Source organism: Homo sapiens, chromosome X (assembly GCF_000001405.40).
Source record: "Homo sapiens chromosome X, GRCh38.p14 Primary Assembly".
NCBI lineage: Eukaryota > Metazoa > Chordata > Mammalia > Primates > Hominidae > Homo > Homo sapiens.
In genome coordinates, this window is record NC_000023.11 from 8,715,863 (window position 1) to 8,732,541 (window position 16,679).

The 16,679-nt window shown below is 45.8% G+C and overlaps 1 protein-coding gene across 2 annotated transcripts in view, besides 4 other annotated features; it reads right to left on the reverse strand.

Moving 5' to 3' along the window:
* Positions 1–16,275, reverse strand: part of ANOS1 (anosmin 1) — a 203,264-nt gene extending 186,989 nt beyond the window's left edge. For both annotated transcript variants that reach the window (NM_000216.4, NM_001440775.1), the window contains exon 1: positions 15,968–16,275. In NM_000216.4, coding sequence (NP_000207.2) covers positions 15,968–16,174 — 207 coding nt within the window. In that variant the 5' untranslated portion in view covers positions 16,175–16,275. The remainder of the gene's footprint in view (positions 1–15,967) is intronic.
* Positions 5,618–6,165: an enhancer, noted in NCBI's record as "OCT4-NANOG hESC enhancer chrX:8689521-8690068 (GRCh37/hg19 assembly coordinates)". NCBI's record gives its function as "activates a minimal SCP1, AML or CMV promoter by ChIP-STARR-seq in naive H9 embryonic stem cells {active_cell/tissue: H9 hESC(naive)}" and the evidence as "EXISTENCE:reporter gene assay evidence [ECO:0000049][PMID:30033119]".
* Positions 10,139–11,131: an enhancer, noted in NCBI's record as "NANOG-H3K27ac-H3K4me1 hESC enhancer chrX:8694042-8695034 (GRCh37/hg19 assembly coordinates)". NCBI's record gives its function as "activates a minimal SCP1, AML or CMV promoter by ChIP-STARR-seq in naive H9 embryonic stem cells {active_cell/tissue: H9 hESC(naive)}" and the evidence as "EXISTENCE:reporter gene assay evidence [ECO:0000049][PMID:30033119]".
* Positions 10,166–10,460: a silencer, noted in NCBI's record as "tiled region #1436; K562 Repressive non-DNase unmatched - State 24:Quies". NCBI's record gives its function as "represses a minimal TATA promoter and a strong SV40 promoter by Sharpr-MPRA in K562 cells {active_cell/tissue: K562}" and the evidence as "EXISTENCE:reporter gene assay evidence [ECO:0000049][PMID:27701403]".
* Positions 12,681–13,181: an enhancer, noted in NCBI's record as "H3K4me1 hESC enhancer chrX:8696584-8697084 (GRCh37/hg19 assembly coordinates)". NCBI's record gives its function as "activates a minimal SCP1, AML or CMV promoter by ChIP-STARR-seq in naive H9 embryonic stem cells {active_cell/tissue: H9 hESC(naive)}" and the evidence as "EXISTENCE:reporter gene assay evidence [ECO:0000049][PMID:30033119]".

Sequence of the window (16,679 nt, forward strand, 5' to 3'; positions counted from 1 at the left end):
CTGGGGCTACAGGCATGCACCACACTATTTTTGAATCCCAGGATCATCAGCACCAGGCACTCCCTCTGGGCCTAACTCAACCTGATGACAGCCAGCGCGTCTGTAGAGCCAAGTAAGAGGCTCTGTTCTGAGTAAAATGCATGGCATCCCAGAAAACTCAATGAAGCAGCACCACCGTCAAAATGGAGGCAAAGGGCAGTCGACGGTCTGAGAGAGAGGGCAGAGACAACAGTCTTCAGAAAGGAAAAGAAGTTTACTTGCAAAGAAGTCCCAAAAACAGAAGACCTTAGGACCAGCTCACCAACAGAAATAATGATAATGTGAATTTAAAGAAGAAGATGCAGCATAACTAAGTTTGCATGAGTCTGCTCATAGATAAAACCATCCATCTACTTATATGATCATGCTCACATGCCACGACACATCTTCACAATCAGGGTTGCCAAAGACGCAAGGAAAGTGAGGTTTTCGTTTAGGAGAGAGAAACTTAACAGAATGCTACAAGGTCTCATTTATTCAGAAGATGAAAACTTGTCAGGCTAACCCTGTCCTTTTGTGGTCATCTCAGGGCCCAAACCTTCTCCTCTGACTGTGAATGGGGATGTCCATGTCTCCTCATAAGCGAGAGAGTTCACAGCATCAGTTTTGATTCCAGAATTACTTACAGCAGAGATGTAAGCATAGGAAGGGACAGAACCAGGGTAGGGCACCAGCGATCTGGATCCACAGTGCACTCTGGATCACCCTGTAACCCCTCCTCTTGTGGCCTCCCATCTCTGAGCTAGTGACACCTGACACCTCATTTGTGTCTGTGCACCCCAGTTCCCTGACACAGTCCTTTGGGAATGAAGGCACGTGCCTTGGTCATCTTGGCAACACCAGCGCCTAGCAAAGAGCCTGACACAGCACAGACCCTTAGTGTTTCCTGAGAACAAGAAGCTAAGCCATGTCATGACTGCCAGGATGTTTGCCATAGAGTGGAAGCAAAACATATACAGATAGAGACAGACACAGAGATAGAGACCCAGAGACAGAGACAGATGGAATAGATATGGATATCCCGATACAAATATTCACATACTGCTATGTTTGGAGACATCAGTTTTGTCATGACTGAAGGTGGGAGGCATGGTACTGGCATTGAGTAGGGAGAGGCCAGGGATGCTGTGGAACCATTAAAATGCACCAGACAGCCCCTCCACTCAACAAAGAAGAATCTGCTCCAAAACGTCCACAGTGTCATAGTTGACAAACCCTGAACTAGAAACGCATGCATAATATACACACAGACGAATATATGGAAATTAAATTCTAGCCCTAATTTCATGAGGTTATGTAAAAAAGCAACCTCCATCTTCTTTTCAAAATTGTGGAGTAATAAAGTGAACTAGAGTATGCAAATCTTGCCCTATTAAAAACAGGTTTAAAACATTGCAAAAATCTATGGCTCCTGGATAATAGAAAAATGAAAATTACAGATGGTCGACTAGTCTATATTTGTTTTTCTGGTGATTGTGATACATAACCAGAGAATATATTCTATCCAGATTTTTTTTAAAAAATTTCTTTGCAGCTGTGAAGGCATTAGCTCATAACTCCGGATACAAAAATGTGGAAACAACAAAAACAACCAAAAGATGTTCTCTACTTTCTTTTAAATTCTGGCCCAATGGGAAAAAAAAAAATACTTCCCAGATGTAGGCCATTTCTGGAATGATGACCACTAGGTTTGGCTGTACTGCTTTCAAAATGGTACAGCCAAATGTCAAAATAGAAAGGGAGAGGGAAGAGGGGGAAAGAAAAGAGAGATCAGGAGAGAGCGAGAAGAGAGAGACAATGCATTTCTACTCAAAGATATGATGGGCTGACCTGGCACAGTGGCTCACACCTGTAATCCCAGCACTTTGGGAAGCCCAGATGGGAGGATCTCTTGTGGCCAGAAGTTCAAGACCAGCCTGGGCAACATAGTGAGACCCTGTCTCTGTTTTCAAAAAATAAAAACTCAAGCCTAGGCAATATAGTGAGAACTTGTCTCTACAAACTGTTAAAAAATTAGCCAAGCGTGGTGGTACAGGCCTGTATACCAGCTACTTGAAAGGCTGAGGTGGAGGGATCCTTGAGCCAGGGAGTTTGAGGCTGCAGTGAGCCATGATTGCACCACTGCACTCCAGCCTGGGTGACAGAGTGAGACCCTGTCTCAAAACGTAAATAAATAAAATAAATAAAAATTCAAAATTTAAAAAATAAATGATTAAGCAAAAGATATGATGGCACTATCCATCAAGGATATATGGGACACATATTTTAGATTTTAAAGGCAAAGTTCTAGTTCCAAATGACTTTTCTGTTTTGAGGACACAGTCTCACTCTTGTCACCCAACTGGAGTGCAGTGGTGCCACTGGAGCTCATTGCAGCCTTGAACTCCTGGACTCAAGCGATTCTCCCACCTCAGCCTCCCAAAGCACTGGGAATACAGGCGTGAGCTACCATGCCTGGCCCCAAATAGCTTTAGTAGCCCAAAACATGGAAAAGAAAATGGGGAACAAAGTGCCCACCTTCAAACAATTAATGGTGGACACCACCCTAGGTGACGTCTTTGTCCCTTCTTGCCACAGATGAAATTTAAAAGAAGCACAGTTGTCAAAACATGTTCACAACAACTGGCCTCCCATTTTCTTCTCATTCTATCTGAAAGGAGTCAGTAACTTCTGCATGAACTTGGCATTCATGGCATCAACAGGATTGGTTTCAACTCTAGGGGCCAGGCGCCAATGCTGTGGTGTGGTTTGTAATTCTGCCTTTATGTGGGTCATTCATATGGCAGGACTGTTGGGCAGGAATAGGTAACCTCTGATGTCTGGTTGCCATAGCATCTCCTTACAGCTACGTGGTTCTCTGCTCCTTGTTTTAGGCACAATTACGCCTCTAGGTGAGCAGAACTCTGTCCACTGGGCAGAAATGACCATCAAGCGAGGGATAAAACAGCAGTTGGCAGAGACAAAAGTATCTGGCCATGAAGAAGAAAAAGTGGAAATCTCAGCGCTGCATCAGAAATTGTTGGTGCAGAGTTCTCAGAAAATATTCGTATACTTCCAATTGTGGGGATGATTCTATTATCACTATTCGTTATGATTGTAAAGGATCTTGCAATTTGCATTCTGCGGGAGTCCTATCAGTTGGAAAGCAAACTAATGACCCTGAAATGCAATCCTCCTTGGCATACTGGATTTGTTATAACAACACTCTGGACCTGTCCAGTTGATGGGGTGACACATGTCAATATAAGCTGTGTATTCTGTTAAAAATCTCTCTCCCGTATTTTAGGCTTACAGGTTTTGGTCAACTTTCTTTCTGGTATACACAGTATAACAAGGAGTCTACATTTCAGAAGAGTGTCATTACTTCCAACAGTGTAGGCATTTAAAGACAAGGACTGGGATATTTGTGTAAGTCTAGATGGACTGTCTCTTGCAATAATGCCCTATTAGAGATTTAAACAAGAGTTAATCAACTTTCCTTGAATGAACCCTTCAAAGAACTCAACAGGTTCTTTGTCACCCAGGCTGGAGTACAGTGGCACAATCTCGGCTTACTGCAACCTCCACCTCCCAAGTTCCAGGGATTCTTCTGCCTCAGCCTCCCTAGTAGCTGGGACTACAGGTGCGCACCACCATGCCTGGCTAATTTTTGTATTTTTAGTAGAGATGGGGTTTTGCCATGTTGGCCAGGCTGGTCTCAAACTCCTAAACTCAGGCGATCTGCCCACCTTGGCCTCCCAAAATGCTGGGATTACAAGCGAGAGCCACCGCACCTGGCCCATTATGTGACTTTTTAAATGGTAACAACATATCTGCGTTATCTTTATAAGAATCAGGGTAATGTGAAACACAAAATTATATATTTTTGAGCTCACTAAGAAAATATTTTCTGAAGTATTAACAACTTGAAAAGCAAAAAAAAAACCTTATGAAAATAAAAAAGTTATAATTCAAAACAAAAGGGTAAACAGAATGTGAATTAAGAGCCTTGATTAGTTGCCGGATTCTTTTCAAGCCTTTTGATGGGTATTGTTTCTCAGACTCCCCTGAGGAGAGGTTTTAAAGCTTCGGGGATTAAAGAACCCCAAAACTTCACATCTTTACCATCTTGTTCTCATGTGCAGCCTTGAGAATTTTCAAAATTCTTTTTTTGAAAGATTTCCTCATTGCCTAACTTTTATATTTTGCAGAGATGCCGGAAAGAATTATAAAGTGTAAACACACACACACATAACCAAAACCCAAACAAAAGGCAATGAAGCAAGCATGTCAGGCACACTGAGCTCGTGGAAATGGCTGTCACATACATGCAAGCTACAATTACCATGCACAATGACTCCACACATGTCCCACCAACATACACAACAGCAACACAGCCAAGAATGAGGACACCGCAACTTTTGTTGCAGGCAGCAAACATCCCCTGTGATGTCGAGGACTCCAGCTGCTTGGAACGCTTCCCCAAGAATCTCGATAAAACTCTGCTATTTCATTACATGCATGGAAAATTGGATAGGCCTAAAAAAAAGCAATTGACAAAAACAAAAAAAGACATTCTTCATCTGAAAAATATCAATATCCATGATCATGAGTTAAATTACTATATGTAAGGATTTAAAAGACGATTCATGGTTTTAATAGTTTCTTTCTTCACGTCAACAACTTGCAGCAATTTTATTAAATGTTTGTCCTTCTCTCCAGTAGAAAATAATTCTCTTGGCCAGGTATGGTGGCTCACACCTGTGATCTCAGTACTTTGGGAGGCTGATGCAACAGAATCACTGGAGGCCAGGAGTTTGAAACTAGCCTGATCAACATAGCAAGACCCCATCTCTGGGGAAAAACAAAAACAAAAACAAAAAACTTAAAAAAAAAGTAGCCAGGTACGGGGGTGTAACACACCTGTAGTCCCAGTTACTCAGGAGGTTGAGGGAGGATTTCTTGAGCCTAGGAGTGCAAAGCTACAGTGAGATATGATCATGGCACTACACTCTAGTCTAGGTGACAGAGGGAGACCTTGTGTAAACAACAAACAAAAAATTTGTAAAGAAAGTAATTGTTTTGGAGGCAAGAAGCACATCTCACATATGCTGGGGCCTCACAATCTAAGATACCTGAAAGACGGTTGTGTTTTGCAGATTCTTATTGGTTAGAAGAATGAATTGGGTGGGTACGTGCACCACCAGTCGGGATGGTGTTGATGGACTGATATTTTTCAAGCCATTTTCTATCACACCAGCAACCTTTCAATTGTCCTCATCTGTGCAACTGTGGTGCAAAACTGCCTCCAGAAGCCAGTGAGAAATCCCGTCCTAGTTCCCTTACAACTGAGTGTCTCTGGATCATAATATAGGTGCTGTTTCCCCTCTGTCTTCTCTCGCTGTTAACATACTAAGAAGTGGAGTCATTCAGTACAAATATCTAGGAATGTGACAATGAGGGCTTGAGTTTCTGCTATGGATCCTTGGTTATCTCATTTTCAGGCCTTCAGTTTTCTTATCTGTAAAGAAAAATAACATTCCTGACCTCACAGAGTAGTTGTGATGGTCAAATAGATATTTTATGTGAAACAACTGTGTCAGCTCCAAAACACTGTAAAATGCAATGCTAAATGCCTTCTGTCCTGTGGCTCAGGAATTCCGGAGAGCTTCTAATTTCCACTAATTCAGAAGCTGTGTCCAACCGCAAGCCAAGAGATAGCCTCCTTTTCCTCCCTTCTTCTTTCTTAGGCTCTTTCTTAGAGGTGTGGCCAAGGATCTCCATAGAGATCAACTGAAAAGCATTAAGAGTTGAAATTCAACCAGATTAGCAAGAACCAGCAAGACACACATCCCTAAGTGTTGTGGCTTGAATGTGGCATCATGTTACAATGGGCATGCTCTTAACCTGCCTTGCAGAACAAAGCACTTGAGCTTTGTGGCTATTTATTCCTTCTCTAACAAGTTCCCAAAGTCTGGCTGCTAGCTGGGAGGCTGATGCTATATCATGGCCATTTAGGTTATGGTCCCCAACAACAGACCACACTGTTGCAAGACTCTGTATTTATACACATGCTGTTCCAAGCTGGAATAACTCAGCTAGCAGTTATGAGACTTTCCCTAAAAAGATAAACACCCTCCCTCCTCTGAGATCTCATACAAAAAACTCCATCTATTGGGCTGAACTTGTCTGTTTACAAACAAGTCTTAGCCTAGAATAGACCCTAAGTTCCTCATGTACAGAGGTTTTAGCTCATCTTTGGAATTGTAACAATCCACTGATATTAGCTGAAATAAATGCAACTTATTAAATCAGTACTTTTTAAAAAAATACATTTCTATAGGTTTTTGGGGAGCAGGTGGTATTTGGTTACACAAGTAAGTTCTTTAGTGGTGACTTGTGAGATTTTGGTGCACCCATCACCCAAGCAGTATACACTGAACCCAGTGTGTAGTCTTTTATCACTCACCCCCTTCCCACCCTTTCCCCCGGAGTCCCCAAAGTCCATTGTATCACTCTTAGGACTTTGCATCCTCATAGCTTAGTTCCCACTTACAAGTGAGAACATACAATGTTTGGTTTTCCATTCCTGAGTTACTTCACTTACAATAATGGTCTCCAATCCCATCCAGGTTGCTGCGAATACCATCAGTTCATTCCTTTTTATGTCTGAGTGGTACTCCATTATGTGTGTACACACACACACACACACACACACACACACATACACACCACAGTTTCTTTATCCACTCATTGATTGATGGGAATTTGGGCTGGTTCCACATTTTTGCAATTGCGTGTGCAAGTATCTTTTTTCATATAATGACTTATTTTTCTCTGGGTAGATATCCAGTAGTGGGATTGCTGGATCAAATGGTAGTTCTACTTTTAGTTCTTTAAGGAACCTCCACACTGTTTTACTAGTTTACATTCCCACCAGTGGTGTAGAAGTGTTCCCTTTTCACTGCATCCATGTCAACATCTATTATTTTTTGATTTTTTGATAATGGCCATTCTTGCGGGAGTAAGGTGGTACCACATCGTGGTTCGACAAAGCAAGCAAAAACATAAAGTGTGGAAAGGACACCCTATTCAACAAACGGTGCTGGGATAATTGGCAAGCCACATGTAGGAGAATGAAACTGGATCCTCGTCTCTCATTTATATAAAAATCAACTCAAGATGGATCAAGGACTTAAATCTAAGACCTGAAACTATAAAAATTCTAGAAGATAACATTGGAATAACCCTTTGAGACACTGGCTTAGGCAAAGATTTCATGACCAAATACCCAAAACCAAACACAACAAAAACAAAGATAAATAGGTGGGACTTAATTAAACTGAAGAGCTTTTGCGCGGCAAAAAGAACAGTCAGCAGAGTAAACAGACAACCCACAAAGTGGGAGAAAATCTTCACAACCTATACATCTGACAAATAACTAATATCCAGAATCTACAAGGAACTCAAACAAATCAGCAAGAAGAAAAAACAAGCAATCCCATCAAAAAGTAGGCTAAGGACATAAATAAACAATTCTCAAAAGAAGATATACAACTGGCCAACAAACGTATGAAAAACATGCTCAACATCACTAGTGATCAGGGAAATGCAAATAAATCAGTACTTTTTAAAGAAAGAAACAGATTCAGCACCTATGCAGACAGTGATTTACATGAAAACAATCTACAAATGCTACATTTGTTCCTTTCTGGGCATTTTTTACATATTGGCTAATAAGTATAACTATTTTTATCCAACCCTCTTTACCATCAGGGAAAATGTCTCCCCTCACCTCTTTGAAACCATACACAAATTACATTTTTAAAATATACAAAGGATTGCAGGTCCTGGAGGATGTAGCTTTTTTGGGGTGTAGCTCCACTAGTTGCATGCTGAGTAAATCCAATGTTGGCTGATACCTGAACTATTGGGGCTCCCTTGCCTTCTTCCTAGACCTGCCATGTAGTACTGTCGTTAATGATGTCCTCTCACTCCAGCTACTGCCCACTTACCCTACAGCTATTTCAAGCTTGCCTGAACAGTGCATATTTTCACATTTCATTGAATTCTCAACAATGAGGGAGCATGATGTGCTTACCTACTAGGTCCAAGAATTGAAATCTTTTTACTGAAGTCATCAGGAGCTAGAAACTAAATTCAAGTAACAGAAAATCTTCTGAATCTGTTTCTTTATTTAAAATGATGTTTAAACTTTGTATACCCTCTCAATTTTTTGAAGGATAGTAAATGAAGTCTTAGCTGAGAGTGTAAAAGCTAACTTATATTTTTACTTATTCTACCTACTAGCTTGAACAGGTCATTTCTATAAGAACCGAGTTGTCTGATCAGAAAAAACAAAAGTGTTGAATGGAACCACGTGTTTCTGAAGGGAGGTGTCTTAGACTGGGTTTCCTAGAAGCAGAGGTTGAAATGGGGTTTCTCGGACATGAGGTAATATTGGGGCGGAGAGAAAAGCTCTCAGTAGAAGAGGGAAGAGAGGAAGCAGGAGAAGGCAGAGATAAGACCTGTGTGGGGATGGGCTCTCAGCCAGAGCCCTGCATAAGCCTGATCCCATGCGATGCTTTTGGGCATGAATTGCATTACAGAGCTGATTCCAGCAGGGGGCTGACCTCCTATATCCCCTGAGCAGAGAGCCAATCGCCATGGTCTGCGCACATCAAGGGAGGAGGATGCATGACCTTGCAAGCAAGATGGTGCCCATCGGCCAAAGGTTATTCCCTTAAAAGGAAGCAGCTGTAAGCTATTAGCAGCTGATACAGGAGCCGGGGGATGGTGGGGTAAGAGGCAAGAGGTCAACAACTGCATCGACTGGAGAAGGAATTGGTGTATATCACCTCTTTTAAAATATTTCAGAAAACTCCCCAAAATGACACATTTTCCTAAGATGATGGTGCAAAGAGAACTAAAATGTCATAACTATTCATTTTATCAATCAGCTCTGGTCATGGGGGCAACCTAATGCTAATCTAAAGCTTGAAAGAGTTATGGCTATCTTTGATTAATGTAAAGAGGAAAAACTAGGTCATACTTAATAAACGCCATATGTTGATAGACAACCTGCTTTCAAAATATGGAGGCCAGGGTAAGTTAAATGGAAAAGTTGAAAGGTAGCTGACTTCAGAACCCTAAGGCTCTGTGAGCTTAGATGATGCCCAGAAATTATGTTATTCTATACTTTACACAAGGCACTGCAAAGAGACATTTTCAGTTATTTCTATTCCTATTTCATAAATAAAAATGCCTTTTGATAATATGGATATGCTTCATTAATTGCTGTCCCAAACCTCTCTTCCCCCCAAAATGGTATGAGAGTCAGGTTTCTGGACAGCAATACCAAGTAATCCATTGGAACTTCTCCATTTCTGACTTAATACAAGCAGTACCCCCTAACACTTTCATAAGTCTCTCTACCTTAACCCCAACATTTTATACTCATTCACTGAAACATACCTGGTAGGTGAGAACATGAAAGGTGGTGAATTTATTTTGAATAAATATGATAACCTCCAAATTTATGATTACATTTTTAAAAGTGGGAACACTTGCACCAACAATATTACCTTTTTAATTTAGGTGTCCAAATACACACATGTGGATAAATAATATTATATACAGATATATATATATATACAGATATATATATACAGATATATATATACAGATATACATATATACAGATATATATATACAGATATATATATACAGATATATATATATACAGATATATATATACAGATATATATACAGATATATATATATACAGATATATATATACAGATATATATATATACAGATATATATATACAGATATATATATATACAGATATATATATACAGATATATATATATACAGATATATATATTTGATATACTGCATAAAGAAATAAACAAGTTAGTAAGTGTATTTTCTATTGTTTTTTAAATGTTCTATTACAGTCACAATAAGGTAGAGTTTTAAATCATGTTCAAAGAGAAATACCATATTAAAAACACAAAAAATTGCAATGAATAGTATAAGGTTTCTTTTGGGTCAAATTCAGAACGTGTTAGAAACGCAGCCAGAGAGCCAATAACTCAGACCAGGAAACACCAAGACCAAACTGCATCGAGTCGTGGTTCTCCCAGCGGCTCTCTAAATGCCTGGCCATCCTGCAATATAACTGAAAACTCAGCACAGAGCAAAGGGACACATCGTAGGCTGGGTATGAGCACCACAAAATCCATTCCTCTGAAATCTGTGAGCCTGGGGCTGATTTGTAGCTGCTGGGGTTTTGATGCGCTAATTGTTTGTTTACTTTGCCTTGGAGGAGAGGCTGGCCCTCTAAGTGGAATGATCTCATCACCAGCTTCATTCTCCTTTTTGCCAAAACAAACAGCTTCCAATTACTGCTAGGAAGAGCCTCTGATCTCTAATCAGCTACCAAAGGGAGCCTATCGGTGGTACTTTATAGGGCGAATAACGTCCCATTAAGGAAGAATCTCTTAACATCAGTACAATTCTGGAACCCTAGGGCCAAGCTGCCAGCAACCTGCTATTAGTCTTCCAGCAGGATCCCATCCACTTTCTCCCTGGGCATTCTGAAATCTGGCAAAGACACAGACACACATACACACACATCCCGCCTCACTTGCCCACGGACTACTACTTTTCCTCAAACCCTACTGTTTTGAGCCTCCATTGAGAAAACACAGGCAGACAAAGAGCAGGTCCCAGGCCTGCCAATGCTGAGATTGCCAATGGCAGGTCCCAAGCCTGCCCATGCTTAGGGAACTGATTATGTTTAGAGCTTAAGACTCAGCTACACCTGTGCCATCATGGGCAGACCCAGAGGAGGTCAGAGGAGCAGGAGTGTCCAAGATGAAGCATAGGGCATGAAGTCACTCTCAAATGCATCAAGAGTCACCTATAAAGAGACAGGGCTTATCTCAGGCACCACCTCCCTCCTTTCCTTCTTCTTTAATCTTCTAGAGAAGTTGAGAACATAAGAGGAGAGATGTTTCTCCCTAAGTGAGCATATGTCAGCATCGTACCCTTTAACATTACAGGTGACCCTATGAGGAACCGCCACTCCAAAGTAGGTTTAAACTTTCCCAGATGGCTGAATCTTTGACATACAAACAAAGCAAATTAGGTCAGTTTCACAGACGTATGAACAGTGCAGTCCACTATATGCTCACAAGAGGACCTAGGCTTGGGGTATGCTCTGCAATGGCCATGCTGAAATTCTTTGAGTTTGAGTTTTGTATGTAAGAGTCAATAGCACACTGCAGTACTCACTGGAGAGTGGACATGTCAGCTCAGAACCAATCCTGACTCCCACCGCACCCTCACCTCTCCAGGACAGGTTCTCACCGCCCATTCCCCCATCACCTGGCACCTCAGGCCCCACTGGCCTTCTGCTCCCCACCTCCCATCACATGATCCCTGCCCACTATGGTCCCTGCAGGGACCGGGCATGGGTGTAGGGAAGATCAGGGTTGGCCATATGCATGTCATACAGTGTCCCATGGTATGGTTGTGTCTGTCCCCATTCCATGCTAGTAGCATGATGGTGTGTTTGGTGGGTGGCCAGCACGATTCTGAGACACTGGAATGGCACATCCACTGAGGAGGATGCAATAAACCTGGGAGCTGCCCATCTGCTGGGGGCAGGAGCAGCTGGCCTATGAAGGGGAGGCACCTGGCTCAATTTCCAGAGGACCTGTGCCAGGCAAGAGTACAATCCCCGGGTGCAGCAGCAGGCAAAAGAGGGGACCTGGCCAGCATCATGCCTGAGCACATGTGTCTGAGCCCAAGGCCCTAGGTGCCTGTGAGACATGAGTGTTCCCTGGGCACACCCCAAAGCCTTGGGGGAGCCTTCTCTTCCTCCTTCCACCATTCCCGAGTCTGGCCTGTTGGACCCTCTGGCCATTTCAGGGCTCCCTCCAGGAATTAAGTGCTCTGATATTTACATGTAAAGCTGGCATTGCACAATATAAAGAAGAAGAGTTAGCGTCATGCTAAAATTAAACTTTAAAATTTTCTTCACTGAGAACAACATGGATAGGAAATTTAAAACACCATGACAAGTTAACAGAAGCAAGTGGCAGAAGAAAGGAAAACGTTTTATATCTTATTTCCTTTAACAAACACTTTTTTTCTTGCTAAGAGGCCCCACGTTTTTATTTTGCACCAGGGCCTGAAAATTAGGTAGTCAGTCCTGAAGTAAATTATCCAGCTAACCAACAAAATCTTAAAAATAGAAACAAAACCAAAAGCTAGAAGCCATCCTCACTATTAACCCGGCTAAATCGTCAATGAACTGTGTGATGAGCCAACTTTTCAAGACCTCTGAGTTCTTCCCTAATTTAGTAGCTGCCTCCTAGGAGTGTTGTGGGGATTAAAAGAGTAGTACTTGTAAAATACCCAGAAGAGTGGCTGCTCCTTAGTAATCTTCCGGGTAGTGCTAGCTGCTGTATTACCATCACCTGCATCACCCCAACATGTTTTGCATCCTGATTGCATCTTGCAGGGCAGGTGCTTCTCTCCCCCACTGGGCATATGAAGGGTTAACATTCAGGAAGGTGATGTGATGCACCCAAGCTACCCATTCGCGACGCTACAGAGCCTGGGTGTAGAGCAGGTCTGCACAGCCCCAAAGCCCACTTCCCTGTTCCATACCTCACAGACCCACAGCTCCTCTTCACTCTGCTAACCGCACATATGTATTCTACTTGTGAGCCTGAAATAGCTCCATGCCAAATGACCTGGACAAAGCATCCTGGAGCCAGATACTAATATTTCAGGAGGTGCTAACATGCACTGTTTCTTTTCGTGAATGAAGGGCAGCATTCAGTAGTGAAATGATGGGGTTTCCATCCCATCTTCCTTTCTTCCTTTCCAGGTCAGAGCAGTGTTGGATTACTCAGGTATCCCTGGTCTGCATTCCCACCCCCATGCCTCAGTACTGAGTCCCTTGTGTTTTTGGGCGTGGTTGACAGCCACTTTGTGCAGGTGGGGCAGAAACAGCCTGCAGACCTGGAGGTGTCAGGTGTGCACATCTACCCACTGCTTTTCTGTCTTGTTGCTGAAGGGCTGGGCAGTGGAGGACAGTGGGGACAACTGGGGCACAGACTATGAGACGACAGCTTCCTCTGCAGGCCGACGACAGCAGGTCACTGCCCCAGGGAATCTGTGTCACTGCCTACACCATGAGTGCATAGGTTGCGCTCTCCTGAGGCAAGGCCTGACAGCTTTCATAATTGAGAGTCCACATACCTGGCGGGCATCCAGGCTGGAGGCCAGGCAAGCTTCTCCCATCCTTAAACATGGCCTGAAACCGTGCAAGAGAAGATGGAAACAGGCACCTGCTCCAGAGACAGCTTTATGGGTGGGCTCATTTGCAGGAGTTGGGGGCGGGGGTGACCCTGTAGGAAAGCAATCTTCTTAAGACTTCCCGTAGCCCAGTCATGAGTTGTCTGCAGACTGATTGCTCCACCTTCCTTCCTTTTTTTTTTTTTTTTTTTTTTTTTTTGAGACAGTCTTGCTCTGTCACCCAGGCTGGAGTGCAGTGGTGTGATCTCGGCTCACTGCAACCGCTGCCTCCCGGGTTCAAGGATTCTCCTCCCTCAGCCTCCTGAGTAGCTGGGACTACAGCATGCACCACTACACCAGGCTAATTTTTGTATTTTTTGTAGAGACGGGATTTCAAGTTGGCCAGGCTGGTCTCAAACTCCTGACCTCAAATGATCTGCCCGCCTTGGCCTCCCAAAGTGCAGGGATTAGAGGCATGAGCCACTGCGCCCGGCCCATCTTCCTTCTAATTATTAAAAAAAAAAAAAAAAAAAAAAAAAAAGGAAGGCAAGCGGTGGGGAACAGGGAAGCTTGGGGTTTTATAAGGAGAATGTGTTGCTGGCTTTTCAGATCTTAAAAACACTTAATCCCTGCAATTTAGATAAATCAGATAGGCATTACCAGGTTAGGGTTAAGGCTCCCAGAATGGCTTTGCAATTGATTACAAACACAGCACTTATTAAGTCTTAACTGAGTAATTTGCAGCTTATTTCACCCCCAGCTAATTAAAATGTAATCAGGATTGTCTAGCAATGTGCATTCTGTCAGCAGTTTTTCTTCCAAAGAGAAATCATGCCAAGGAGACCACAAGAAAAGCCTTTCACGGGAACTGGCTTCATCTAAGCTGGTGCTTTAGCCACTGAAACTGTAAAACAAATAAATTACAGCACTGACAATTCAAGAAAAAGAAAAAAAAAAGGTACTCTTTCTCCCTGGGAATAGGCTGCTCCGTTTTGTTTTGTTTTCTGTTGTTTCAAACAATAGTGTGGCATCTTAGGAGAGTGACTTTCAGGGTAGGACTCGGAGGGCTGGAAACCAGGTGCCTGGGGATCGGCCCTCTCCTGGCTCTGTCCAGGATGTCTGGGTAATTTCACCACAGGAGGTGAGCACTGGGTCTTCCATTCCCTGAAGACGCAGAAGGACTACAGAGCGTGCCCATTTCTCTGACACCCACGAGACGCTGCTTCTACGACTTAGAACAAACTCAACTGCACACTCGCGAACGCGCCAGCTTCACCAGCCGGTTCAAGATCATCCCCGAGGGTAAGGGGAATCACTTCCACATTCCACCCTTATTAATATGGCCTCCTCTGGCAGCTTAATTCCCAGGGCCTCTAGGGGGACCCCCCCCCCCACCCCTTGACCCAGCTCTGGCAGGAGGGGCGCCCAGTTTAAGAGCCAAGGGTTTGGCTTCCAGTTCCCGCCCAGCCAGGGGAACCCCTCCCCCCAGCCCCCATTTCTCCTTTTGGTCCCTCCAGAGTTTCCCTGAAGCGAGAAATTGGGAACTTGGAACAGGTGGGCACCTAGGGATAGAGGCGAGAAGAAGAAGGAGAGAAGGATGAGAGAAGAGAAAAATAAGCGGAGGATTTCAGAGCTCGCACGCTCGACAGGGCTGGTACAGGCAGCAGCTGCACTCGCTCGCGCTGAGTCCGGAACCTGCTCTCGTGCGCCCACCCGCACCCGGAGCCTCGCGCAAGTCCCGCGGGGGTCCGCGCCACAGGGCAGAGTCCCGGCAACCCGCTGGAGCCAAGCGCGCGGCTCCCGGAGCCTCCCACACAAGCGCGCGCGCACACACACATACTCCCCACCCTCAGGCTGAAAGAACCTACGTTCGGGGTTTGGGGGACGGTTCCCCCGGGACTCGTTGAGGAGTATCCGAATACGGCCCCGCCAAATCCCCTGTCCCCGGCACTTCTTCCCTGACGCTCTACGCTAGTCCAGGGCAAGACCTTGAATCTTTGGGGTTCCGAATTGAGGCGCGCACAGCCACTCGCACCCCCAACACGCGCATACACGCACCCTGGAACACGACTTGGCACAAGTACCCTGGCTGGGGCTCCAAGGGTGGGCAGCGAGCTCTGAGCCCTCAGAGAGTGAAAACCATCTTTCAAAAGAGACAAAGTGTCGGCCCGCGGGCACCTGCGGGGCTGGGGCTCGAGGTGAGGTCCCCAGGCGCAGCCGGACGCGCCTCCCAGACTCCCTCCCAGTGCCCCGGAGCGCCTGGGACTTTGCGGGAGTCGCCGCCCGCCCGGAGTCTCGCGCACTCCAATTCCCGGGAAACCGCCACATCCACACACCCACTCCCAGCATCCACGACTCTCCCTCCCCAGGGAAATCGCCTTTGGTTTCCTGCTGGGAAGGAGGGAGTTGGGGCAAGATGTCTCGGGCTTCTTTTTCTTTTCAGGAGCCGGGAAGAGGCTGGAAAGGAGAGTTCCAGCACCCCGACTGTAAGATCCACGCCCAGGGGAAGCCAGGATCAGCCGGCGGCGCTGGCCGAGAACTTTGCGAGCCCAGGCTGGGAGGCGCGCGCCCCGGTGCGCCCACGCCGCGGCCGCAGCCCCAGAAAGAACCCGGGCGGGGGCCTCCCCGTACCTGGAAGTGCTGGAAGAAGGCGGAGATGCGAGTGATCTGCAGGCTCAGGCACCTGGAGGCGCAGCGAGCGCGCTGGACGCTCCCGGCAGACAGCGACTCGTCCAGCCGCCGCGCAGCAGCCGCGCCGGGGCCGGCCGCCAGGCAGCCGCTGGAGGCCGCCAGCCAGAGGCAGAGGGTCAGGACCGCGCCGGGCACCCCGGGCACCATGGCTGCGGGTCGAGGGCGAGGGCGAGGGCGCCGGGCGCGGGCCGAGGCTCCCTGCTCCGCGCCGGGGCTGCACTGCTGAGGACCAGGCAGACGCCGCGACTGAGCCGGAAAGTTCAATCCTTCAACTCCGGCCGGACCCTCCTCGCCGACCTCCCTCCCAGCTCGCCCTCGAGGGGTGGGGTGAGGGGGACAGGAGGCCGCACCATTGGCTGGAAGGCGTGTGAGTGACAGGGGGGCCGGGCGCAGGGCCCATGGGCCGGTCTCGTCAGCTGCGAGCCCGGGCGCTCCGGGGGAGGGCGACGCCGAGCGGCTTTCCACGCCGCGCAGGTCTCGAGGGGCCCAGCTCCCACGCAGGCGCCTCTCCCGTTCGCACCAACCGCTTCCTGCCCCTCCCACCTTCCCCCTCCGTCCAGGTAAACGTCGGTGTGAGCAGGTCCAGGCCTGCCAGGAGGGGTGCTCCCTTCAGCAGGAGGGAAGAGGCCTCAGGACCCCCAGGGGCGTCCCA